General features: G+C 38.0%; 1 protein-coding gene across 5 annotated transcripts in view; it reads right to left on the bottom strand.

The window, feature by feature from the left end:
• EFL1 (elongation factor like GTPase 1) overlaps positions 1-26,860 on the bottom strand; it is a 132,502-nt gene that overhangs the window by 103,416 nt on the left and 2,226 nt on the right. For 3 of the 5 annotated variants that reach the window (NR_136410.2, NM_024580.6, NM_001322845.2), the window contains exons 3-7: positions 25,440-25,507; positions 19,043-19,127; positions 7,622-7,755; positions 6,770-6,907; positions 4,659-4,873 (exon numbers count right to left, since the gene is read on the bottom strand). Coding sequence is in view for 3 of the 5 variants with exons in the window: in NM_024580.6 (NP_078856.4) it covers positions 4,659-4,873; positions 6,770-6,907; positions 7,622-7,755; positions 19,043-19,127; positions 25,440-25,507 (640 nt within the window). In the remaining 2 variants the exon portion in view is untranslated. The remainder of the gene's footprint in view (positions 1-4,658; positions 4,874-6,769; positions 6,908-7,621; positions 7,756-19,042; positions 19,128-25,439; positions 25,508-26,860) is intronic. The other 2 variants (NM_001322844.2, NM_001040610.3) reach the window with 2 other exon arrangements.

The raw sequence follows: 26,860 nt of genomic DNA on the forward strand, positions 1-26,860 counted from the left end.
ATTCTTGATGCTACCCATCCAAGTCAATATGCTTCTGCTTTTCAGAGCAGACTCTCCCAGATTAACATCAATTAACAGGATAGATTTCGGGAGAAGACCTAGGTTCAGCCTCTAGTCACACTTCTTAATCCTTTCCCACTGCAGAGTTTATAGAACCATCTTGCAAATTCTGGAATGTGCTCATTTTCCACCTTTTGTGACACATGCAGCTGTCAACTTGGCCTATTCACTGACATTTTAGAGGAAAAGGGGAAGGAAAAAGTCTCTGGTGCTTTCATTTCCACCACTACTTTCCCATAAATTCACATATCAACTTGTTGAGAACAGACAGTAGCCAATCTCTAAATCTGACCTTGTCTAATACAGGGGAACATTCATTTATTGGCTGATAGTATCTAAAAATGTCAAAAGTAAGGGCTATGTAAATTACCCTTATTCTATCCATTCAACTTTCTCCCTATTCCCTGTCCTTCCACAATAAACTTCCCCCAATTTGTGTGATTTAGACTAAAATTAGCATAAAACATTGAATTACTTATGAAAATCAATGTAAGAAAGGGACAAGCCTCCCATCTTGTGGCTTATTAGCAGAATGCTCACAAATCAGGAAATCAACAAGTACGACCGTATTATATGACTGAATGAATCACTGTGAATGAATCTAAAGAAAGTCTTGAAATCATCTTAGCCCAATATTCTTGTTTTTTCAGATAAGTAAACTGAGGCCTAGAAAGGTGATAATGACAACCCATCAACCATATATGAAAAGTACAAATTCTCAGCAGGTTCACAATTTCTATTTTCATCATATATGCATTACTTCAATTTATTTAGCTCTAGTATCATCTTTCGGGCATCAAATGGACTAAGATATCTATAATTTATTACAAACAGAAAATTATGATATTATATTACACTGCCCTGCCCAAGACAAAATCTGGTCAAAGGGAAATTGGAGAACAAGTTCCTGTAAAAAGGAAAATACATTTTAAAAAACGGAGCCAGAGATTTGTTAGGCTACACCCAAGCCTTGCATTCTAGTCAGCTCCTGATCCTTTCTTTCTTTCCAATTCTAAGTCATACTGATATAAATTTCATGAAGAGACTCTGTTTTCTCCTAGTGCATCATTTCTAGTTCTATGATCCCTGCAAATTACATGCAATATCAAGCCCACAACTAAAGTTAACTACAGTTATGGTCCCACTACTATTTATCCAAACCACAGACATTTTTCTCAAAGTAATAATCTTTTAACTACATTTGGATTTTTTGATTCCACAAGTCAGAAACTGTTGCAGTTTAAAAAATGTGATCAATTACCTACTCCATTCTGAAATCCAATGTCACTGTTAACATGGCCTCAGCATGTGCAAATTCGGGAGAGGCAATAAGAAGAAATAAGGATCCTTATACCCCATAGGGAAGACACCAAGAGAAGAACCATGTCAAGAAAACACAGGCTTCAGACTCAGGCAGACTTTAATCTTAATATCAACTCTGCCTCTTAGCAGCTGAGTGATGCTGAACAAAAGTTACTTAATGTTCTTGAGACTTAGATAATAGATAGTAATATCTGTTTCAAAGGAGTGTTGTCAGAATTTGGTGAAATAATTTAAATAAAGTGAGTAACTCAATATTTAGCATATGTACATCCTCAATAAAGCTAGACTAACTTTTGCTACTGTTGGTATCAAAGTTGATATAAATATATTTGTTCATCTATGTACAAATAACTTTAAGAAGATAAACAAAAAACTGACATGAAATAAACTGAGCTAAGGAATAAGGTGGGATCCCTTTGTGGTATACATTTGAATTTACTCAAGAATAAAGTTAAAGTTAAAAATCAATTGTATATAAAATCTATAAAGAAATGCAAGACTGGCTCAATATTAAAAAACATCAATCAATGTAATATACCATATTAACAAGCTAAAGAAGAAAAATCATACAAATATATTAATTAATACAGAAAAGGTATGTGACAAAACTTGACACATTCATAATAATGACATTCAGAAAAATAAGAATATTAGGGGACTTCCTCAACTTGATAAAGGACATCTAAAAACAGCCTGCAGTCCTAACATTATTTCTAACGGTGAAAGGCTTAATGCTTTCCTCCTAAGACCAAGAACAAGGCAAGGATGCCCACTCCCATCAATGTCAGTCATATAGTGCTGGAAATTCTAGCCAGTGCAATCAGCAAAAGAGAAAACAGCATGCAGATAGAAAAGGAAAAAAATACAACAACCCCTATTTGCAGACATGATAGTCTCATAGCAAATTCCAAAATATCTACAAAGAACTGCAAGTGAGTTCAGCAAGGTGACAGTATACAAGATCAACATACAAAAATTAATTGTATTTCTATATACTAGATGAATGTGCTAACACCAAAATTAAAAATATCATTTATAATCATTCAGAAAAATGAAAAATTAAGTGTAAATCTAACTCAACATGTACAGCACTTGGATGCTGAAAACTACAAAATGCTCATAAAAGAATTTTTAAAAATTTTAAATAAAAGGAGAGGCATAGTGTTCATGGAATAGAAAAAATTCAACATAGCAAAGATGTCAAAATTCTCCCCAAATTAACAGGTTTACCAATCAATTTCCATCAAAATCCTAGCAAAATGTTTTTGCAGATATAGGTAAGATTACTATAAAATTTACATGGAAAGGCAAAGGCCTTGAACAGCAAAAGAAATTTTGAAAATTAAAAATAATGTGGACAGAAATAATCTACCTGATTTCAAGACTTATTATGCAGCTACACTAATCAAAATTATGTGGTACTGTTGGAAAGACAGACACATAGATTAAAGGAACAGAACAAAACACTCAGAAACAGACCCACACAAGTATGTCCAAGTGATTTTGACAAAGGCACAAAAGCAATTCTATGGAGAATAGATAACCTTTTCAACAAAGCGTTCTAGACTAAATGGAAATCCAAAGGCCCTCTCCTCCCACCAAAAGAAAACCTTAACCCAAGCCTCACACTTTATACAAAAATTAACTCAAAATGGGTCATGGATTAAATGTAAAAAGTAAAACCAAAACTTATAGAAAAAAATGAGAGACAATCTTTAGGATCTAGAGCTAGGCAAAGAGTTCTTCAACTTGACTCTAAAATCAAGATCCATAAAAAGAAAAAATGATAAACGAAACTTCAGCCAAATTAAAAACTTTGCGGACTTTGATGGCTGGGAGCAGTGGCTCATGCCTGTAATCCCAGCACTGTGGGAGGCCGAGGCGGATCACTTGAGGTCAGGAGTTTGAGACCAGCCTGGACAACATGGTGAAACCTGGTCTCTACTAAAAGAAACACAAAAATTAGCTGGCAGTGGTGGTGCACACCTGTAGTCCCAGCTACTCAGGAGGCTGAGGCAGGAGAATCGCTTGAACCTGGGAGGCGGAGGTTGCAGTGAGCCAAGATTGCGTCACTGCACTCCAGCCTGGGCAACAGGGCAAGACTCTGTCTCAAAAAACAAAACAAAACAAACAAAACAAAAAACAAAAAATAAACGTTGCTCATTTTGAAAGACACTGTTAGAGGATATGAAGTCAAACTACAGACTGGGAGAAAATATTTGCAAAGCACATATGAGACAAAGGACTACTGTTTAGAATAGAAAAAACTCTCAAAATTCAGGAGTACGAAGAAAACACATTAAGAAAATGGGAAAGGATGTGAAAAGACTTTTCACCCAAGAGGACCTACAGATGACAAATCAGCACATGAAAAGATGTTCAAGGTAAACCAGCTGTTAGGAAAACGCAAATTAAAACCACAATATCATATTAGTACACACCCAACAGAATTGCTAAAATGAAAACGGTGACAACACCAAACGTGAACATTTGGAGAAACTGGATCACTCACGCATGCACTGCTGGTGAGAATATAAAATGGTACAGTCCGTCTGGAAACAGTTTGGTAGTTTCTTTAAAAACTAAACATACAACTATCATATGACCCAGCAACTGCACTCCTAGGCATTTATTCCAGAGAAATGAAACTTATGTTCACACAAAAACCTACACATGAATGTTTATAGCAGCTTTACTCATAATGGCCCAAAAAGGAAAAAAAAAAAAAACACCAGATGTCCTTTAATGGGTGAATAAACTGGGGTACATCCACACCATGGAATACTACTGAGCAACAGAAAGGAACCAACTACAGTATTAATGCATGCAATAACTTGGATAAGTCTCTAGAGAATCATGCTAAGTGAAAAAAATCAATTTAAAAAATATTACATATTTTTTGGTTCCATTTCTATAACACCCTTGAAATGAGAAATTTGGAGATAAATGGTTGTCAAGGGTTAAAAAGGGTTTGAGGGTGGGAAGGAAGTAGCTGTGGCAATATAAGGGCAACGTGAAGGAGCCTTGTGGTGATAGAAATGTTTTGTATATTGACGGCAAATGGCAAAGTCCTGCTTGGTTATTGTACTACAGTTCTACAAGATGTTATCATGGATAGGAGGCAGTTACTGGGTAAAGGGCACCAGAGAACTCTCTGCATTATCTCTTACAACTATAGGTGAATCTATAATTATCTCAAAATAAAAGTTTCACTAAAAACAATCAACTGCATATAAAATCTGCAAAGAGATTTAATCAGATGCAAACAGACTTACCCAAAGCCCCACCCATCTATTGCACTGGTAAACACCACATTTCCCTGTTCTGGAGAGAAGTAAAGGTGAGAATCATCTGTGTCCTCCAAGCCAGTGCTCCAGTCATATACTTGCTCTCCTTGTTCAGAATTTGGATTCACTTGGGATTCAGTCTCCCTCTCTGCTCTTTCTTCTAGGACTTTAGAAGTAAAAAGAGTCCCTGTGAGCGCATTAATCTAGGAGAGATGGTGAAATGGCAGAGCGTCATTCAGATGCTCAGCATGCTCACGGCAGGAGAAACACTGTTTAACCTGTGTTAGGGCTAGAATCATTAGTCAGTTTGGGCTCATTAAGCATACATGAATGGAGGTGACATTCATAATCAGTGAATAACTTAGATGTATCCATTCTTCCTAAACTCAGCATAACTAAATTATAAGGTTTTTGGAAGGTTATTTTGTGATTATTATTATTAGTTTAATGTAAATGTTAATGTGTCATATCCTTAATTTGTTTCTCAGTGCTGAGGCCTAGTATCACAAAGTACTCATGATTTCCAACCCCACAATCCTAGTTTGTAACCTTAGTCCACTGCCTTGCCCATCTCTCACATCGGCTGTCTGAAATGTGCACTACCCTCTTCAGGCCCTCTTCCCAACTCCTAATCCTCAACTCTACTTTCACTCCCAAATAGGCAGTAATCTTATGTCCTACCTCAGAGAGAAAATGGAACCTATTACTCAGATTTCCTTCAAGTGCCCCACATCCCAATCTACAAGCTCACTTATGTCTGCAAATACCACTGACCTTTCTCCTGCCAATGCAGGGCAGGAGTTATTTTACCTGTTCCTAATTTTTTTCTTTTTTCTGAGGTGGAGTCTCGCTCTGTTGCCCAGGCTGGAGTGCAGTGGCGTGATCTTGGCTCACCACACGCTCTGCCTCCCGGGTTCACACCATTCTCCTGCTTCAGCCTCCCTAGTAGCTGGGACTACAGGGGCCTGCTACCACGCCCGGCTAATTTTTTGTATTTTTAGTAGAGACAGGGTTTCACCTTGTTCGACAGGATGGTCTCAATCTCCTGACCTCGTGATCCACCCGCCTCGGCCTCCCAAAGCGCTGGGATTACAGGTGTAAGCCAGCTCGCCCGGCCTACCTCTTCCTATTTCTACAACGAATGATATCCATCCATCATTCTTTTTCACTGTTCTACTTTTATTGTTTCCTGCCTTTAACAAATAAATATACTCAAGTTGCTCTCATCAACAGCTTTCCACTGTGTTGAGGAAGACATTTCAAACTCTCACGCACGGCATATCAGGTTCACTGACATCTAAATCCTATATCCTTTTTCCCATCTCTTGTAACTGTTGCAAACGATCTAATTCTTCAGCTAAAAAACAATTTGCAGTTCCTTAAATGAAACACTGTACTGTGCTTTTTCTTGCCTTTATGACTTTGCCCATCGTATTCCTTCTCTTTTGAATGTCCTTTTCCTGTCTACCTGGCAAACACCTACTTTACTTCCATCTCAAGGCTTCCATTTTAAGACTTCTAACTCATTCTTCCCTCTTGACCCAGACTGGGTTAGATGGCCCTTATCTATGCTGTTATATCACACCCAGGACTTATCTCATTGTTCTCCAAATATCTCTTTGTCTCCCCTACTATACTGTGAGCTCCTTGAAAATAGGGATTCTGACCTGTTCATCTTATATTCACAATCCCTAGTGCACAATGGACATTTGATAATTCATTTATTCAACATATATCTATGAAATATTTGCTGAATAAATAAATGAATGAATGCTTGGGTAAAATTTCCTGTAACGACAGGTAATAAAATACTACAGACAGGTAATAAAATCCTAATATGGCTTCACTTTGGAACCAAGATACAGTTTTAAACAAGAGAGCCTATTGTCCAAGCTTTATATGATGGGTGATTCCAAGAGATGGAAAAGACTACTGAGAACATGCTTTTTCTATTGCCTCTCTTGTAGAATAACAGCAACACGTATGAATCTGAAGTGGAAAAGTTCCCTTTTCTGTAGCAACGGCTCATACCCAGCTCAGTAACTTCCTTACAACTCTTCTTCGTGGCTAAATTTTTTAAATACTAAAAATTAAAATACCTGTTCTAAAATATTCTTGAGGTGAGAATAGGCCTCTTGTGGGGTGAATTTCAGTTCCACTATCAAGCGATCAATCTTATTAATCACTAAAACCGGACGGATGTTTTCAAGCCAAGCTTGTCGCAGAACTGCCTGTGTCTGATAAAAACAGAAAGAAAAATGTAAAACTCATGATTTGAAATAATTAGAGCACATTAGAAAATCGTGATTAATAACCACTCTAGACTATGCCAGTCAGACAAAGGTATTCATTAGGCATTCACAAACTATGTATACAGCGGAGTAGCAAAGAACTACACATAAGAAATCATTGTTGCCTTTATGCAACTGACAGTTAAGAAGGATAAATAAGGCCGGGCATGGTGGGTCACACCTGTATCTCAGCACTCTGGGAGGCTGAGGCAGGTGGACTGCTTGAGGCCAGGAATTCAAGACTAGCCTGGCCAACATGGCAAAATCCCGTCTGTATTAAAAGTACAGAAATTAGCCAGGCATGGTGGCACATGCCTGTAATCCCAGTTACTCTGGAGGTTGAAGCATGAAAATCACTTGAACCCAGGAGGCGGAGGTTGCAGTAAGCCAAGATCATGCCACTGCACTAAAGCCTGGGTGACAGAGCAAGACTCTGTCTCAAAACAAACAAAAACAAAAACAAAGTATGTTAAATTAAAGTCATCATCTCTAAGATCCCTTCAGAACTCTGGTGATTTAACTCCTTCACAGACTGGAACGTTACCAAATGTGAAATATAAAACCAATGTTGTGATTGTCAGTGAAATGCCTAAAGTCAGTCAGTTCCCCCTCTTTCCTCACCCTTAACCATTTAAGTATTTTCTCATCACAATCCATTACCTGTGGACAGACTCCTTCCACAGCATCTACCACAATGATGCATCCATCACAAATGCGAACAGCGGTTGATACTTCTGAGGAAAAGTCCACGTGTCCTGGAGAGTCTATCAGATTGATCAGGTACTCCTCATTACCTAAAATACAATTTGTAAACACACATTTTCAGTTGTCCAGGTACACAATGTTCTTCCTCAGGCGTTCTAGAATAAGAAAGCTGAAAGCTTCTAAGAAAAAACTGAACAAAGCTAAAGGAGTTGAAAGCTCAATCCAGAGCTACCATTCCAACTTTTCCCACTGATGGGACTACTGATTCCAAATAGCATCTATATAAAATGTTAAAGGACTTTATTATTCTAATAGTTACCACTTAAGAGCTTATTGGGAGCCAGCCACTATGATACTCACTTTTAATGTGCTAATCACATATTATTGAATCCTTACAATATCCCTATGAGATACATATTACTATTCTCCTTTTACAGGTTAGGAAATTGAAACTGAAAGAAATCAATGCCTAAGGGCCTGACAGTAAGAGCTGTTCAAAGGGCCAACAAAGCAGTTGGCCAAGTTCTTCCCTACAGTTTGTCAAAGAGCAGTGTATGAATCTGCTCAATCAAGATTTAGACTCAATTCTACAAAAACTTAAGGAGCAGTTACTATGTGCCAAGCAGTGTGCTATGTGCTCTCCCATTAATATCTCCTTCAATAGTCTCAACAGACAAATGTATTAAACTTATAGTAGGGTGATGACACATCCTGAGTTGTCTGGTTTTAGCACGGAAATTCCCACATCCTATCAAAGCCCTTAGTCCCAGGCAAACAAGAAAAAAAAAGATCATCTTAGGTTATAGAGAGTTATCACTAAACATAACTTAGTATACCATGCAGAAAATTAGTTAATACTTTAGAATTCTGTACTCATTCCCCATTATTGATAAATTTGATATAATTCTCTTTTAAAGGCAGAATAACTATTAGAATGCTCAAACATATACTTTACTTTTGCTCCTCCCCTTAACTCAGTGTTTATCAACTTGAATGCACTCAAGAATGACTACAGGGTTGAGTATCCTTTATCTGAAATCCAAAATGCTCCAATGAGCATTTCCTTTTTGTGCCATGTTGGTATTTGAAGAGTTTTGAATTTTGGAGCATTTCAGATTTTGGATTTTCAGATTTGGGATGCTCAACCTGCAATTTATGGGCCATTTAAAGGATTTTCCCCCAATATAATTTTAATGACTTCGCTTGTGCCCTAGGTGATACTGATGATAAACACCACCACAACAATAACCACAACCAGCGCTTAACATCTGTGGACTGCCTATTCATGGCTGGCATTGTTCTAAGCATAATACAGAAATTATCTGATGTTTACTTACAACAATCCCCTGTAGTAGTTACAACTATTAGCCCAATTTTATATAGCAGGTAACTAAGGCACAGAAAAGTTAAGTATTTTTCTCAAGGACATCCAGCTAGAATCCAATTCTGAGGTTGACTAAGATCACACAATTCAAAATGATAGAGCATAAGTTCAAATCCACTTAACTCCAAAGACCATACCTCTAACCACTACACTCAGAAGGCAGTAACTTTCACCTCACATGCCAAGATTCCACTGCTAATGAATTCCTAAAACACTGGGTGAAGCATTCCCAAGTGTACTGAGGCTCAGTGGGAAAGACTGCCATCAGTTAGCAACAGACTGCCTTCTTCAGTACCACTCCTCCCCGCTGCCTCCTGGTCTTTTCATGCAAACTGCTTTATGAGGAACCATTGCTCTGCTGAAACCACCAGAGAAGGCTCCAACCAGAGAAGACCATGGAGATATCCAGTGAAAATCCAAGAAGTCAAATAACCAGAGCCCTGGAGCAATGGCCCACTGGACCTCAATCGAGCCTTTCACTGTCAGATCTCACACCAGTTCTCCTAGTCAACATTTTCGATAAGTATCGTGATCTCAACCAAGTACACCAGAGAAAAAGGAGCATGTCTAGTAGTGGTCTAGGGTCCTATCATACAAAATTAAAGCTGTGAGATTCTTAGAATCACTCAGCATTTTCTCAGCCTAAGCCTTTATTCCATAGAAAAACATGCTAACGCCCTCAAAAGGTAAGAGACTGACCCAAGGTCCCAAAAGAAGCAAGCCAGAAATACACCCAGGGCTATCGAACCATCTTAGTCACTTCTCGGGTCTTAGATTCCTTCATACTTTGCAACTGGGGAAACAACACTTGCCTATTCATCTGGCTAAACTCCAGACTTTAGAGTGGGAGAACTTCAAGCACTTTTCCATCCTTTGTGATACGACCGGGACCTGATACTGAAGTTTCAGAGACTGGGTCTCCAGTCAAGTTCTTTACAGAGTCTAAAAATGCACTCGTACAGACATTTCAGGCTTCCTATACAACAGTGCTCTTACCTTTTATTGGAGTTACAGACCTTTTAGGGAATAGTCAGAAAAACGAATACCTATCTACTTATCTATGCTCCCCTAAGTACGCGTCCATTTCCAGATTCTTTGAAATTCATTCAGGAAGGGCAGGTTCAGATCTAGAGAGGAACTGAAAGCTAGAGATACACCAAGTGTTTCCACCCGACAATCTACATCCTAAAAAATAAGTGTCTGATCAAATAATATAGCTGAGAAATAAACAGCCAGCCTTGGAGCTCACATCACACATACATATTAAAGGTTCAGAGAAGCCCTGTAAAAGAAGTTTGTCCAATTCTGTTTAACCTGGAGTTTCTCAAATATATTTAATGGTGAGAAGGAGGAAATGCCATGGTCAGTTACACAGCTGACAAAGGCTTGGCTCAGCTCTGAGCCAGGCCTCCCAATTCCTCCTTCAATGCCTTTTTCATCTTAACCCTTTCCAAACAACGTTAACCTAAATTTCAAAGGTTGGGGACAGAAGTCCCATATCCATTAGAGAAAAAACGTCCCCAAGCACAGCTCTTCTGCTGTGACTTCAGCCACATTATGTCTCTTTAAAAAATGCCACTTACCACTTTTGCGTGTGTGTGATCAAATTAAAAAATACATAAACGCAGTTATAGGGGTTTACCATGGTAGATATTATTGTTATTGCCAGTATTAATTATTTAAAAAGTAGAGAATGCATAACACTTTTCAAGAGACAAAATTTTTTAAGCATGCTAAATGATCTTTCCGATTTGTAACAAAGTCCTGAAGCTATATGTTGAATTAATCCCTGCAATAGCATTCAGGGACAGAAACTTCTGCTGCTTTACTTCCCAGGCATTCCAAACTAAACGGCTTCATTTCAAGGCACAGATCTAATCAGTCAAGCAACAATCCAATCTTTTTATGTTCCAGGGGGCTGAAAAAAAAGTTGGAAGAACTGAAGTTAATTATGGGAGATATCTTCCAGACAATTTCTGCTGCTAATAGGGAGTTATGGGAAAAGAATTCCTCCCTTGCCCATGGTTTTAAAGTGCCATGGATAATTGTCTCACAGAAGGTGCACATTTGTCACTAGGACCTGCCAAAACATCTCTGTATTCAGTAAAACTTCATGTAAGGAGTTTAGTGTTCAACTTCCAAAACACTGGAAATGCTCACTAAAGCATACATAGAAAGCTGATGAGAGAAAACTTTCCATAAAATAAAAAAGAAAAACTGAAGTTATGGAAGAAGATCTGAACCTCCTGAAAGTGTCCTTTATGTGTCAGTGTATTGGTAGAGTATTTTGCCTGACAACAAAAATAACAGAAATATAGGCAGAACCTGAGTTATCTGAAGACATGTTCCTACATTCCTTATGTATGAACTTCTAACAATTATATACAAAAATTGTACCCCAACTATATATAAAGTAACCACAAGTCTCCCTCCACAGGAAATACTACTTTTTTTTGTTTTTTGTTTTTTTTAGAGACAGGGTCTCACTGAAACATTCAGGCTGGATGCAGTGGCACAATCATAGCTCACTGCAGCCTCAAATTCCTGGGCTCAAGCGATCCTCCTGCCTCAGCCTCCCAAGTAGCAGGGACTGCAGGCACACAAGGGTAACTTTTATTTTTTGTAGAGATGGGGTTTCACTGTGTTGCCGTGGCAGGTCTCAAACTCCTGTCCCTAAGTGATCCTTCTGCCTCAGTCTCCCAAAGTGCTGGGATTACAGATGTGAGCCACTGCACCTGGTTTCCTTTTATATCTTAAATCACTATTATCCTTTTATATTTTAAATCAATGTATAACATTATAAGTTATAAATCAACTAATACGACTTATTATTTGACAGAACTGTAAAGCACAATTGTAAAGCTGACACAGGTAACAGGGTAACTATCTTTATGAGAAGCCTGCCACAAGGAGAGGTGAAGGGTGGTTGACTCTGATAGTATGTGTCAAAACTGAGATGGGGTCAGGCACAGTGGCTCATACCTATAATCCAAATGCTTTGGAAGGCCAAAACAGGAAGATCACTTGAGCCAAGACCAGCCTGGACAACATGGTAAGACCATCATCTCTACAAAAAAATTTAAAAAATTAGCCAGGCATGGTGGCACATGCCTGCAGTATTAGCTACTCGGGAGGCTGAGGCAGGAGGACTGCTTGAGCCTAGGAGTTCTGGGCTGCAGTGAGCTATGATCACCACTGCACTCCAGCCTGGGTGATAGAATGAGACTCTTGTCTTAAAAAAAAAAAAAAAGTGACAGGGGTTAGGAAAATGAGAGGAAAAATGATCTAGAAACAACTATGAATAGCAAACTGATTAAGTTTTCTTTTGCTGCACAAACCCGACCCGAAGACCTCTCCAGACCTTCCTCCAACATGAAACTAGACCACGTACAGACCACTTCTGATTACATTTGGCCTCACCCGCTTTTGGTTTTTCTCAGTATGATGCCAGTCCACATCTGCCACCCAGTACTGTGGCCACACCCTGAACTCTGACATCACTGAGAACTTCTCCACCTTTCAAGGCCTGCTGCGTAGATAGTAAATCTAATAATTACACATCCACATTGTCTTGATTCCTTTGATCATTGGCAGTTTTGCTTGGAAGGGTGTAAGAACCAGAATAAGAAACCCTGGAGTAAAAAAAAGGTTGATGTTTACTTCTTATAATCTCTCTATGCTTAGCATCACCCTGGAGAGAAGGTCATAGATCAAGGACCAATTTCACACTGCTAATGCATGTCATTACTGTAAGGTGCTAGTCTCATTATCGGAGTAATTGAGAGAGTAATTGTAGGATAACTTTGACTAAGAAGGGGGAAGAGGGAAAATGCAGAGGAATGTGGGGCTGAAAGAAGGATTTATGTATTTTTTTAAGACAAGAAAGACAAGAAAGACTTGAGCATGCTTAAAAGCTGATGGATACAAGCCAGTACAGAGGGAGAGGTGGAAGATACTGAAGAAAAGATCATTAAGTCCAGAGCACAGGTTTTTGCCAGTGACAGGAGGCAAGCAAAAAATGCCCATACCATTACGTTTTGAGATACAGTGGCAAGCAGGTGAGAATTCTTCTCTTTTCTGTGAAATAGAAGGTAAGAATGTCTGCTGAGATTGTGGAGGAGGGGATGACAGGTAGGCTGAAAGAGACCAGAAGGTTTAAAATAGGTATTGGGAAGAATGAGCAAGACCTAACAGTGAGAGATGGGAAATCTGCCAGCAGTCTGGAGGACCACTTGAGAACCTAGCCCAAATGCAAGGATGAAGACGTGTAGAGAATTAGCTTTATCAAGGGTTAAAGTTTTGTTGGGAAAAATATGACAGAAGGTCAAGAACCAAAGAGACTGAAGACGCTGGCAAGACTGTCAGTGAAATGACAAATCTGGGCTGTATGAAGCAGGAAATGAATGAAGAAAGAGGCTGTGGGGAGTCAAAAAAACTAGAGAACATTATGAAGTCAAAGAATGGGTACCTCATTAATCAGGTGAAAGAAAGAGCTGGGAGAATCAAAGATTGTAGAGAAGGAAGTATTTAAGTTTGAAAGGTCGAAGATGGATAGCTCAAGGTGATGCTAAAATCCAGAAAGTATTCATGACAACAGGTAGGTGAAACGCAGAATCAATGTTGTTGAGAGGATAAGCTGTTGAAGAAGTCATTCTCAGGGATGGTGAAAAGCCACCTTAGAAGATTCAGGTAAAAAGAACAATTATGAGTCCGGGTGCCAAATTCACTAATGAACAGGAACCATCACCAGGAGCTGACAATGACTGGAAAGGTGAATAATTGGATGGTCTGAGTCTTGAAAGAAGAAGTTTGAAAACAAGGGTAGAAGAATTAACTTTTGTAATCAGATCTGGGAACAAAAAGAATGGCAATCCCATATGCTAACCCAGAGATACGTGGAACATGAATGAATGAGTAGCATTCACTTGGAAAAGGTACAAGGCAGGCAATGTCATCAGAAGACAGCCAGGCAGAAGGGGGAAACGTCAATAAAAAGACATTGAGGATGTAGCGATGTTTGTTTCTCTTGGAATGTTTTCACAGTAAGTTTTGGTAAGGAAGGGAATAATGGGAAATTGAAAGAGGGTGTCAGAATCACAGAGAAACATGGGGAAGAGACTATAAGAGAGGCCAGATCATGTGGCTTGCATCGTGGGCAGTGACTGAAGACCACAGGGACGTAGGTAGTGTTGGCCACAAGACGTGCATAACAATCCCTAGTGGAAAGGAGATAACTCAAGCCTCAGGAGGAATTAGTTGTGGCCTGACTTCCAAGAGACTAATGGTCCAAGTGAATATGCTGGAAATGTGGGTTCTAGGACTACTACCACATGCTAGAAATTACTCTGTCCTTGGGAAAGTGTCTTCACCTCTCTGAACTCCATTTTTGCACATGTGTAAAATCAGAGTAATACCCATCACAGAGTTGCTGTGAAGATTAAACAAAATCAGGCATATGAGACACCTAGCTCAGAAGTGAACTATCGTGTACCTAGTTTCTTAGGCCTGGCATCAACTGAATACTTCACAAAGTAAAGCATTCATTGTCTGACGAGAACAAAATCTACCCTTCAGTCAAATGAGGGGTAATGGAACTCTTCCCTCCCAGCCTCATTCTGGAAAGAATAAGGCAAGTTAGGACCATGGGTAAACGTTCACACAGCCAGAGGAAAAGGGAAGCTACTGCCTCTGAATAAGAGATGACTTTCTGCTACATGCTGGCCTTGTCTGTAATTAGATGGCATGAGTCAGTGTCTCCATGGCCTAGTCTTCGGAGTATAAAACCAGAGAGCCACAGAGCTGAAATCAACACATGCGTAAATCCTCCTTCTGCCCACAACCACTAACCCTATCCTAACAGAGGTATTTACAAAGTGATCAACTTGCATATGGACCTCTTTGCAGAAGACTGCTATATCCTTGGTCTCCCTGTTTGGAGGACAACCTCACTGCATATGGCTGACTCTTGGGTGAATCCCAAGTGTACCACTGAACCAGGCTATTAGCTAGACTATATGCCTAAGGTTACTAACTAAAAGCTCATAAGCTAAAGCCCACTGCAGTGTTTTCCATATGGTGTTTTACAATTTTTAAATAAGTTGGCAGCATTTTGATACTTGGAAGATTTTACCGAAAATCCTGATGCCAACTTTTCTTGAAAAAAAAAAAAAATCACTCAAACTGCCTCACTTATGCAGAGGTGTCAACACCATGTCAGGAACTAATAATATTGTACTTAATAATCACATCTGACAGGTGTTAGAATAAGTAAGCTATTTGGGGGGAGAAATAAAGTTAGATAGTTACCTCACAGTGTGTGCATACACATACAACTTGCATTAAATATAAAAATTGAAAATATAAAATAACTGGTGATGAACTGAGAGTGATTTTTATTTCATTTTTGTGTTTTACTGTATATTCTATAACACACACTAAATTTTCTATAGTAAATATAAACTTGGGCCAGGTGTGGTGGCTCACAACTGTAATACCAAAACTTTAGGAAATAGGTAGAAGGCTTGCATCCACGAGGTTGAGACCAGTCTGGGCAACATAGCAACATCCCATCGCTACAAAACATTTGAAATATATATATAAATAAATATATACATTGAAATATACATACATATATACTATATATGCAATATACCTAATATGTATGTATGCATATAAACTTGTAAATTTATTTAAAATATTTTAAAAGATGAATTAGATAAAAACTTCAAAAGTTCAGCAACAGCAATATTTGCTCAGATATAAAAAATGGCTATACAGTAGAAACGACTGCAGTATTCCTTTTGATGAATTTCAAATTATTTAACCCATGTGAATCTATTTCTCTCTTCTGTATCTGGATTCTAGGCTAAAGGATTCAAAGGCATTACATCCCCTTAGGATATTTTACAGAACGTATATTGTTAGGAATACTTCCTAACTCTTGAGATGACAAGATAAATGTATGGTATCCTTGTGGGTGGGACACAAAGAGAGGTAAGAAACAGGCAAATAACAAGATTTAATAATATGATCCCAATATTTGTAGCAAATTTTGGTCACAAACGTAAAGATAATAGAGGTTCCATTTTCTCAAAGAAAAATTAGGTTCCTGGAAAATGCTGAGATAGTGTATGACCTTGATGGTTTTCAACACCACTTCTATAATGTGCAGGATTTATCTGTTTACTTTAAACTAGAATAAGACCCTATATTTCAACCCAAATAAATATTTGAAAATACTTTTGAAAGCTCGGTAAATTAAGAGTCAGAACCACAGAAAGGGCTTAACTTGCATTTAGTACACAGATTCTCAAATAAGAGGGCATTCGAAGTGGGTGAGAAGGAGGGGAAGGCATGGTATAAATAAAAGTCACCTGTGGAGTTTCTTCAATCATCAGGTTTCCCTCTTTTTCTCCCATCTAGGTTCCCCTTCAGACGTCCCACCTTCAGAACAGGAAATACCCCATTCTGGAGAATCAGTACTAAGATACAGATAAAAACATATCTCATCTCTCAAGTGCTCTGAGAGGATATGTCCCAGTCAACATTCCTAACTTCTATCCCCATAAGGCTCTGCACTGTCAAGTGTGATGACTGCTCGGCCCAAATTCCCTTCTAGGCAGTAATCCCATGCTCACAAGAAACATGTTTGACACTTTGTGACTCCACTCCGATCACCACTGATTGGATTAGGAGGTGACTAACCAACCCAAGCGCAGCCAATCCATAGGTGCAACCTCTGTGATGGGCTGGCATGAAAAGATAAGCAGAGCCGCATCCTGCTCTTGAGCCTGTGTGCTCAGAAACACAAGAGATTGAAGCAGTAGGCAACAGAAATAAGGTGAAAACAGACAGGATAATAGGGTAAGAAGTCAGGGCAAGGTGAATGTACAAAGATGAAGACATGACAGTAGGCAAAAGCTATGAGACAGAGAAAAGACATACAGGATAATAGTGGAAATACAAACAGACACCCAAATCCAAGGACAACAGTGGAGTTCCAGAGGAAGGATCCATAAACTTTTACTGATACGGTCTCTAGAGCTATCTTGGATCCAGAATAAAAATCTGGCTCCAATTTTTATGAGACATCACTCCAATAAGACTCCTGTTTTTCCGTTTTCATGAATATTATTTCCAATATCATTTCACACATATGCTTTCAATAATCTATCCCACCCCAACCCAAGCTAGCTTAAGTCTCTGGTCTATGCAATCAAGAAAGCATACCTGGCTGGGCGCGGTGGCTCCCGACTGTAATCCCAGCACTTTGGGACACCGAGGCGGGCGGATCACCTGCGGTCAGGAGTTCAAGACCAGCCTGGCCAACATGGTGAAACCCCGCCTCTACTAAAAATACAAAAATTAGCCGGGCACGGTGGCATGCATCTGCAATCCCAGCTTCCCAGGAGGCTGAGGCAGGAGAATCGCTGGAATCCGGGAGGCAGAGGCTGCAGTGAGCTGAGATCATGCCACTGCACTCCAGCCTGGGCGACAGAGCAAGACTCCGTCTCAAAAAATAAAAAAGAAAGCGTACCTAAAACAATCTGATCTGTGAGCAGCCAAGGTCAAGGTCACAGAGCTCGATAAAATAGAGTTCAGACCATTCAGTTCCCAGGGTCCTATAGCAAATTCTCCTACAATACTACACCAGAAAGATAAATGTGAATTGGAACAGGTGAATTTTATGGTATATAAATTAAACCTTAATAAAGTGGTTAAAGGACTCAAGGGAGGGGGACTAGAGACAAAGTATAGAGCAGAACAACTAAAACTGACACCAGAGGAATCTTCAAATAAAAACAGACTAATAATCTGAGTAAGGAAGAAGGCAGCCTTCAAATCTCTTGAAGTCTATAAAACGAGATAAGAAATCAATAGACCCTTAACCTCATTCTCTGGATCACAGGATGAGAATATAACCTTTAAAATGTGAGAAGTGGTTTAAAAAAAAATGAAGCGTTAAACATTAAACATCGAGAAATCATGTGCCTAAGAGCTTCAAAACTGGTTTGGTACAACAGCCATGCCCCACACAGTACATCTTTTGGTGGCAGTGTCAAAGATATGACACTTGTGAAGGATGAACCACATGTAAGTCCATTAGGGAAATAAAATTTATCTTTATTATTTTCTTCTAATTACAAAAATATACATTTTGTGTAAAATTTTCACATACTACAAAAATAAATATTTTGAAAAGTGCAAGTTTCTCCATAATCTAGCCCCTGCAGAGAGCTACTGTTAAGGGTTTGGTATGTATCCTTCCAGACACCTTTATCTGCATATATAATATATTTTTATTACCTAAACACATTCATATCTTACAAAAATACTCTGCAATTTGTTTTCTGTCTCTGAACATACCATTTTCCCCTGTACAATAACATATATATTAAACATTTGTTTTAACAGCTGCACAGTATTTCACTGCTTGGATATATCAGTTTATTGAACCATTCTCCTATTGACATTCAGGTTGTTGTTATTTTTTTCACGAATACAAACTTTTTAGTGAATATCAGTGACATGTATCTCATATACTTACATGACTATTTCTGTCAGATAAATTCCTAGAAGTGTTACTATCAATGTAGCATCCTCATTTGAGGACAGCAAGCTGGTACTGATCACGGCAGTCTACCTTTAATCTACTCCAAATCTAACATGCAGGCCAGGCCATGAGGCAGAATAGTAAGGCTGAACCAGCTAAAGTCCTAGGGCTCCTGACTTTCCTTGTGAAGGAATCCATATAATCACCTGGTGGAGGGGGCAGGTGTGAATTGCCAGTTCTTCTGCCCTCAAACCAGTCAGAGGTTTCCATCTGCATCCAAGCCTGGACAGCCTGACTCTGACAACAGATCATGTGGAGAGGCCAGAATAAAATACGTGGAATATAAGCAAAGAAACTGAGGCATGCAATTAATTCAGAAAGACAGAAGAGGACATGAAAGATGCAAAGCTGTGTTTCGTTAAAACACAGACTGATTTACCTGTTGCATAATGTAGGGAAATGGCACTGGATTTCATAGTGATCCCTCGGATCTGTTCATCTTCTCTGCTGTCCATGTACCTTAACTGGAAAAATGCAACATATGCATCTTCACTTCCCAAAGAATTAAAATGTAACATTAAAATTTGCTAATTTAGATTTTTGTTTTAAATACTTATATTTAATTTGTTATTTTTATTTATTTTTGTAGAGACAGGGTCTTGCTATGTTGCCCACACTAGTCTTGAACTTCTAGCCTCAAGTGATCCTCCCACCGTGGCCTCCCAAAGTGCTGAGATTACAGGTGTGAACCATCATGCCCAGCCAATACTTAAATTTTAACCTATATAGAGCCTTTTTTTTTTTTGAGACAGAGTCTTATTCTGTTGCCCAGGCTGGAATGCAATGGTACAATCTCGGCTCACTGCAAACTCTACTTCCCAGGTTCAAGTGATTCTCTTGCCTCAGGCCTCCCAAACAGCTGAGATTACAGGCATGTGCTAACACACCTGGCTAATTTTTGTATTTTTAGTAGAGACAGGGTTTCGCCATGCTGGCCAGGCTGGTCTTGAGCTCCTGACCTGAGGTGATCCACCCACCTCAGTCTCCCAAAGTGCTGGCATTACGGGCATGAGCTACCGCGCCTAGCCCTCTCTCTTTTTTTTTTTTTTAAGATGATGGGGGTCTGGAGAAGTGAAGTTGATTGAGGGGAAGGGAACATGAAAAATTGAAAAACATAACCACTAGGAACCATAAATGTATTGAAATACTGCATACCCTCCCCAGAGTGTTGCTCATCCAAATATCAGCCGTGAATGATGGGGCAGGTCAAGAACAACTTACGGACAGTAGCATTTGAGGGAATTCTTTCTAAACATCAATAACATAGCCATTCTTTTCCTATTTATAAGCTGTTTGACAAATTCTGAGCAGAGACTGAAACAGAAGTCTCTAGAAGCAAGAGAAGTCTTTATTCCTTTCCCAAATTAATAGATTTTGAATACATCTTTTTTAAAAAAAGAATACAGTAGAAAATATTTGTAATATGACCATTTAGTTGATGACTTTCATAACACTGTAATACCCACCAATGAGTGTCTACATCTCATTTTCTAGGCCTTGCAGTGCATCAGTACTGACAGTGGTGTCGTTTAAATAAAGATCCCATCCCTTTCCAACTCCTTAGCCCTAAGCACCAGACTAACCTTCTCCTCCTTTCTCCAGAATGATTTTCCCTTACCCTTCCTCCATTCTCTCCACTGTCAAACTTTTGAAAAATTCTTAACCTGTCTATTTTCTCCTTTCTTTCATTCAAAAGCACCAAGAATTATCTGTTGATATGAACTGCCACATTTATTCATCCATATTAATTCTGAAATTTTCAGAAAAGCTTCCATTTCCACAGCTCTGGCAAAATCAAAGTCCTAAAAGCTATCAATGACCTCTGGCGAAACGCAATAATCATTCTCAATCCTCATTTTTCTTGATTCCAGTGCAGCATGACAGTTACCCTTTGTGTGCATGTGTGTTACGTGCATATGTGAAATTCTTCCAAGAGTCTGAAACCTCTTAATTTACCTCCATCTCTCCTTAGATCCCACTGCTGGTTTCCCTTCACCTCTCCAACCTCTCAGTCAGTCCTTCCTTCAGAAAGTCTCAGTCCCTTGTCAGTTTTCTATAATGTATGTTTTTAAGCACTGAATTGGTATGAAACGTGTAATACATAAATAACAACACAATGAACCCCTGTGTATGCACCATCCCATTTCAAAAGGAAAAAAAAAAATGTTTGTTACTTTTGAAGTACCCTGTGCCCCTGGCTTACAGGTAACCACTATCTTGAATTTTATCTTGATCATTTCCTTATTTTCTTTATAATTTTTAAAAATGAGTGTGTCACTAAGCAATATATCATTTAGAGTGGCAAGTTTTAAGCCTTCTATAAGAATCATACTTAATATATTATACTGTCACTTTTTCTCTGCTCAATATTGTTTTCCTGAGATTCAGCCACATTGACGTAATTTATTCATTTTTATTACTGTAGGACTCCACCTCACAAATCTACCAGACCCATTCGTCCATTGTAGAGAATGAAGGAAGGGTAAGGGAAAATCATTCTGGAGAAAGGAGGAGGAGGTTAGTCTGGTGCTTAGGGCTAAGGAGTTGGAAAAGGATGGGATCTTTATTTAAATGAAACCACTGTCAGTACTGATGTACTTCAAGGTCTAGAGAATGAGATGTAGACCTTCAACTGGTGGGTACTGATGGACATGGAGACTGATTCCAGTTTTTTGTAACTATTACTGAGTTGATATGAACAGTTGTGGGTCTCTTGTACACTCCCTACCAGTAGAATTTCTGAGTTATTAAATCTGCACATCCTCAACCTAACTTGATATTTCCAAATTATTTTCCAAATTGTTGGACTGATCCACAGTGGAATAGTGCGTTTCTTGATCCATAACCTCCACAGCTGATATTGCTGGACTTTATTTTCTAAGTAAGATGGGTGATAAATAGCATCTCATGGTTTTAAATTTACATTTATCCTATTATTAATGGGATTAAGTATCCTTTTGTAAGTTTTTTACTGGCCATTTAACATTCCTTTTCTGTGAATTGCCTATACAAGGCTTTTGTCCACCTTCCTACTGGTTGCAATACAGATTTATTTTGTTTTGGATAGGAGTTATTTATAGTCTCTGAATATTAGTCCTTTGTCAATTATATGTGTGTTATTAATATTTTTCACAGTTACCAGGCTTGTTTTTTCCATTTCTTTCTGGCATCTTTGATGAATATGTACTTAATTTTAAGTAGTTTATTAACCTTTTATAAAATTGTTTGCACATTTTTGTCTTAAGAAATCTTCCTTTAAGGTCATAAAAATATTAGCCCATATTATTTTCTAAAAGCTTTAGTTTTTAAATAAAAAAGCTTTTAAATAAAAATGTCTTAACTGTGCAATTTGTGTGTGGTGTTAACTAGAGGTCCAATTTTTTTTTCCACAGGGATAACCAGTTGCCCAAGAACCACTTGAAAGGTTCATCTTTTTCCCACAGATCTGAAATGCCAGCCTACTATTCTGAGCCGTCAGTCAATTTCATGCCTCAGCCGATTCCAGGCCACAGGTTACAACACATCAACACATTGATAAGTCTTGCCAGTGGGTAAGATGTATTTCCATATCTTACTCTTCTTCAGTCCCGGCTATTAATTGGTTTATTTGCTCTTCTGTATATATTTTTAAATCAGCATATCAAGTTGAAATTTTTAAAAATCTGTTGGAATTTTTACTGGAATTGCTGAATCTACAGATCAATATTTTTTAAATGTCATTTAAAAAATAGACAGCCAATACGTAAATATGGTATATCCTTCCATTTAAGTTTTCTCCAATATCTCATAGGTTTTGTTGTTATTGTTGTTGTTTTTGAAGAGATGGCGTCTTGTGCTATCCACCAGGCCGGAGTGCAGTTGCTGTCACAGCTCTTTGCAGCCTCAAACTCCTGGGTTTATGCAACTGTCCTGCCTAGCTTCCCAAGTAGCTGGGATTACAGGCATGAGCCACCATGCCCGGCACAGGTACATTTATTATGCTATTTAAATGGTTTACGTTTTTAAATTACTGTATATTACCTATTTATTGCTCACGTATACTTCTTTTCAACAGTTTTCGTATCCTGAAACCTGCCAAATTGTTACTAATATCCTAGCAATTTATCTACATTTTTGTTTTCTTCCTTTCCAAAATTCACACTTTTTATTTTTCTTTCCAGCTTTATCACTGCAACTAGAACCTCCAGTACAATCTAAAGTAGAAGTTATAACACAATGAGCAGAAGGGTGTGACAGCCATTCTTGCCTTATTCCTGGCTATGAATAGAGAAGTTTTAACACTTCATCATTAAGTTCAATCTTCATTTTAGGTTTTTTATAAATATCCCACATCAGATTACAGAAGTTCTCTTCTGTAACTACATTGCAAAGAGGTTTTATCACAATAGATGTTGAATTTTACTACATGTCTTTATATCTGTTGAAATGATCATGATTTTCTTCCTTTAATCCATTAATATAGTGAAATTACATGTTAAACCAATCTTGAATTCCTTGGGATAAACTCGATTTGGATATGAATAATCATCTTTTTATACTATGCTGAATTGTTTGTTAATGAGGATGATAATTTTTGCATCCATAATCATAAGGTTGGTATATAATTCTCCTATATTGTACTATCCTTAACAGACTTTTGGTATCAAAGTTATGCTATCTTCATATGATTTGGAGAATACTGCCGATTGTTGGGTTTTTCTCTGCTATATTTTGAAATGGTTTAAGTAGGACTGAAATTATTCTTTGAATGTTTGGCAGAACTAGAGAGTTAAACCATCTGGGTCTTTACTTTATGGAAAGATTTTTGCCAGCCAATTCAATTTCTTAAATGACTATAGAATAATTCAAGTTTCCTATTTCTTCTTGACTCCATTTTAGCAAGTTATGTTTTCCAGACATTTTTCCATTTTAGCACTTTTAAGTTTACTGGCACAGAGTTGTTCATTATATCCTATTATTACCTTATTAACTTCTGCAGCATTTTTCTTTCTGGGTATCACATATTTCTGCCTCCTCTCTTTTCTTCTTGATCATCTTGCTGGTGTTTTGTCAGTTGTGTTACTCTTCTTTAAAGTCATTCATTCAAAAATATTTATTTATATATACTATGCTTTCTATATGTCCAAAGTACAGTGAGCCACATTAGGAACATTACCAGGTCAAAAGTGTCAAATGTTCCTCAACAATGTCAATGAAAAACAAAACAAAAAAGTTTCCTAGTCAAGAGAATCAAAAATTGTCTATATTGCTAGTAATTGTTTAAATTAATAACTTTATATTTTTAGAGCACCTTTAAGTTTACAGAAAAATTGACTGAAGGTTCCCACATACTCTCTCCTCCCACCCACACAGTTTCCCCTATTATATCTATCTTGTATTAGCATATGGTGTGATACCTTTGTTACAACTGATGAACCAATATTGATGCATTATGATTAATTAAAGTCCATAGTTTACATTAGGGTTCACTCTTTGTATTTGTTAGCTGGGTTAATCTTTTCCAAAAACAAACTTCTGGCTTCACTGATCCTTTCTATAAAATGTCTGTTTACTATTTCATTAATTTATGCTTTACTATTTCCTTTCATCTACTTACTTCAGTTTTGTACTTTCTCTAAATTCTCAAGTGGGGAAAATATAAGCATTTCATTATTTCACTCAACCTAGTTTTCTTCAGCCTCCTCTAGATAGTATCTTGGGCCAGCTTCCCTCCCAACCCACACATCAATTCCCAAATCGATCTTCAAGTCTATTGGGTCTACCCTGTGGATTCAATTTTGCTTCTCCGTCTCCTCTTCTCTCTATTCTCTGTCACCTGATAAACCCTATTGATCATATCCTAAATTCATTATGGAAACGAATATATCTTTATTTTTCTACTGCCAAGTAAATTATTCCAAGCCCTTTCAACTCATAGCTACAAATAAAGATCTCTTTAATTTTATTTCCTCAAACGCTATTTTCAGGCTAGGTGTGGTGACTCACACCTGTAATTCCAGCACTTTGGGAAGTCAAGGCAGGAGGATTGCTTGAGCCCAGGAGTTCAAGATCAGCCTAGGGAACATGGCAAAACCCTGTCTCTACAAAAAATTAGCCAGGTGTGGTGGTGTGCACCTGTAGTCCCAGGTACCCAAGAGGCTGAGGTGGGAGGATCACCTGAGCCCAACAGGGCGAGGTTGCAGTGAGCCGTGCATGATCACACCACTGCACTCTAGCCTGGGCAACAGAGTGAGATCCTGTCTCAAAAACAAAAACCAAAAAACCCACTATTTTCATCACAATCCTCAGGCACAAGCAGCTTTCCTTTGATACTTAGGTTAACTTTTAAGGTCTTCTATAATCTTATTCTCCCTGCCAGTATGTTTTCTCTGTCACTAGTCTCTAGGCAAACACTCCACTCAAATAGAGCACAACACACAAATTAGCCTTTATCCGTCTTATTTCCCACTACCTGGTAGCTTTTCTGTCTTCTCCTCAAACCACTCAACTCATTCACCTACAAAGAATCTCTTGCGCTGTGAAATCTTCCACAATGGTGTATCATTTGCTTGCTGCAAAAACTCACTTTTGCACTTAGGATAAAGCAATACAAAGCAATACAGAAGTAACTATTTTTCTCCTCAGCATTTTTATCTTGCAAAATGGATTGGCAGCTTTTAGACGCAAGAATTATGTTTTATACCCTTTTGGATGGCTGAAGAACACAGAAAATGGTTCATCACATTGTTGATAGCTAATACTGAAATGCAACAAGTATTTATAAAATAATAACATACCTTGCCTGCTAGGCGGCTGGAGATGATTCCATTGCTAGATATAAGACAGTCAGCCAGAGTAGTTTTTCCTGTTAAAATAGCAACATCAATTCAAATCTATATCTTTTTTAAAAGGGGTCATGGATCATACCTATAGATTTAAAATCTGGTCATAAGAATTGGTTTAGTAAAGATTTTCTATTTACCTATGCTAGGTGACAAAAGAGATTTATTAGACTTTTGAACAGAATATCATCTGGAAGGACACAGAGGCTAGCACTCTATAATGCTGTAATCTTATCTCCAACCCTGTGGATCTACTCAACCTCATCTGAAAAGTTGTCAAGTAACTTTAGAGAACATACTCTTTTGCCATATTTCCCCATGCATGGCCTCAGCTGGAATTTGCTAAACTGTCTTAAGAAAATACTTACTTATCAAAGAAATTCAGGAACATTATCCATATCTCTTACTGTTTGTAATATAGCATGTGGAGGGCATAAACATACTGTAACAACCAATGAAACCTAGTATCCAAATCTAAACCTAGGAATCTACTTTAAAGCAAAAGAATCTTCGAATATATTTATAGTTACTTTTATTAAGCAGACTACATACAACTAAAGTCTATGAGATTTTATGTGATATAAACAGGTGATTCTGTGTAAAGAATGTCAGGGGTATGCATAATTACTACAACTGGGTTGGAGTAAGCAAAGGAGGGTTTTTTTCCTTCAAGACAAGTCTTTATTGCACTTTAGGAACTTCAGCAAAGCTATGGAATCTCTGTATTGTTCAAACCAGAGACCAATGAGTAGGAGAACTGAAGATATTTAACACTGCTATCTGTCTGCAATGTAAATATGTATTAGCATATAATCCTAGAGCATCACTTTCCTGCTACCCAGTAAAGCTGAATTTATTCTAAGTACACCAAGTATATACCTCCCTAGAAAATAATTATCAAGCAAGCAGGAACTTTGCTTTATTCACAGCAGTATCCCTAGGACCAGAACAACGCTTGTCATATAGAAGACCTTCAGAAAATACTTGTTGAATGGATGAATCCCAGGTTTTTTAGGATAGTAGCAGCTTAACATAATTTTAAACAATACATTTAAAGTAATTTGTTACACCCCACTAACTTTCCACTTGAATAAATTCATAAAGAAAAAAAAAACCCTTTTATCAGCCTTCACATTCTCAAAATGTGAGCAGTAAAATTATAAAAACTCATGGAGGCAGGGGTTACTCACTGGATTTGTACTAAAACTCATTCACAGCTGGCTTCACTTGTAAGTGATCCACTATCTGTCTTTCTGTCAGTTTCCATACTCACATTACTTCAGCTCTTCTATCAATGACAACAGCCACCTAATCTCTGACTTTGGATCCATCCTAAGCATGTCTACCAATCTAATCTTTCTCATGTTTTATTTGAT

Source organism: Homo sapiens, chromosome 15 (genome assembly GCF_000001405.40).
Source record: "Homo sapiens chromosome 15, GRCh38.p14 Primary Assembly".
NCBI lineage: Eukaryota > Metazoa > Chordata > Mammalia > Primates > Hominidae > Homo > Homo sapiens.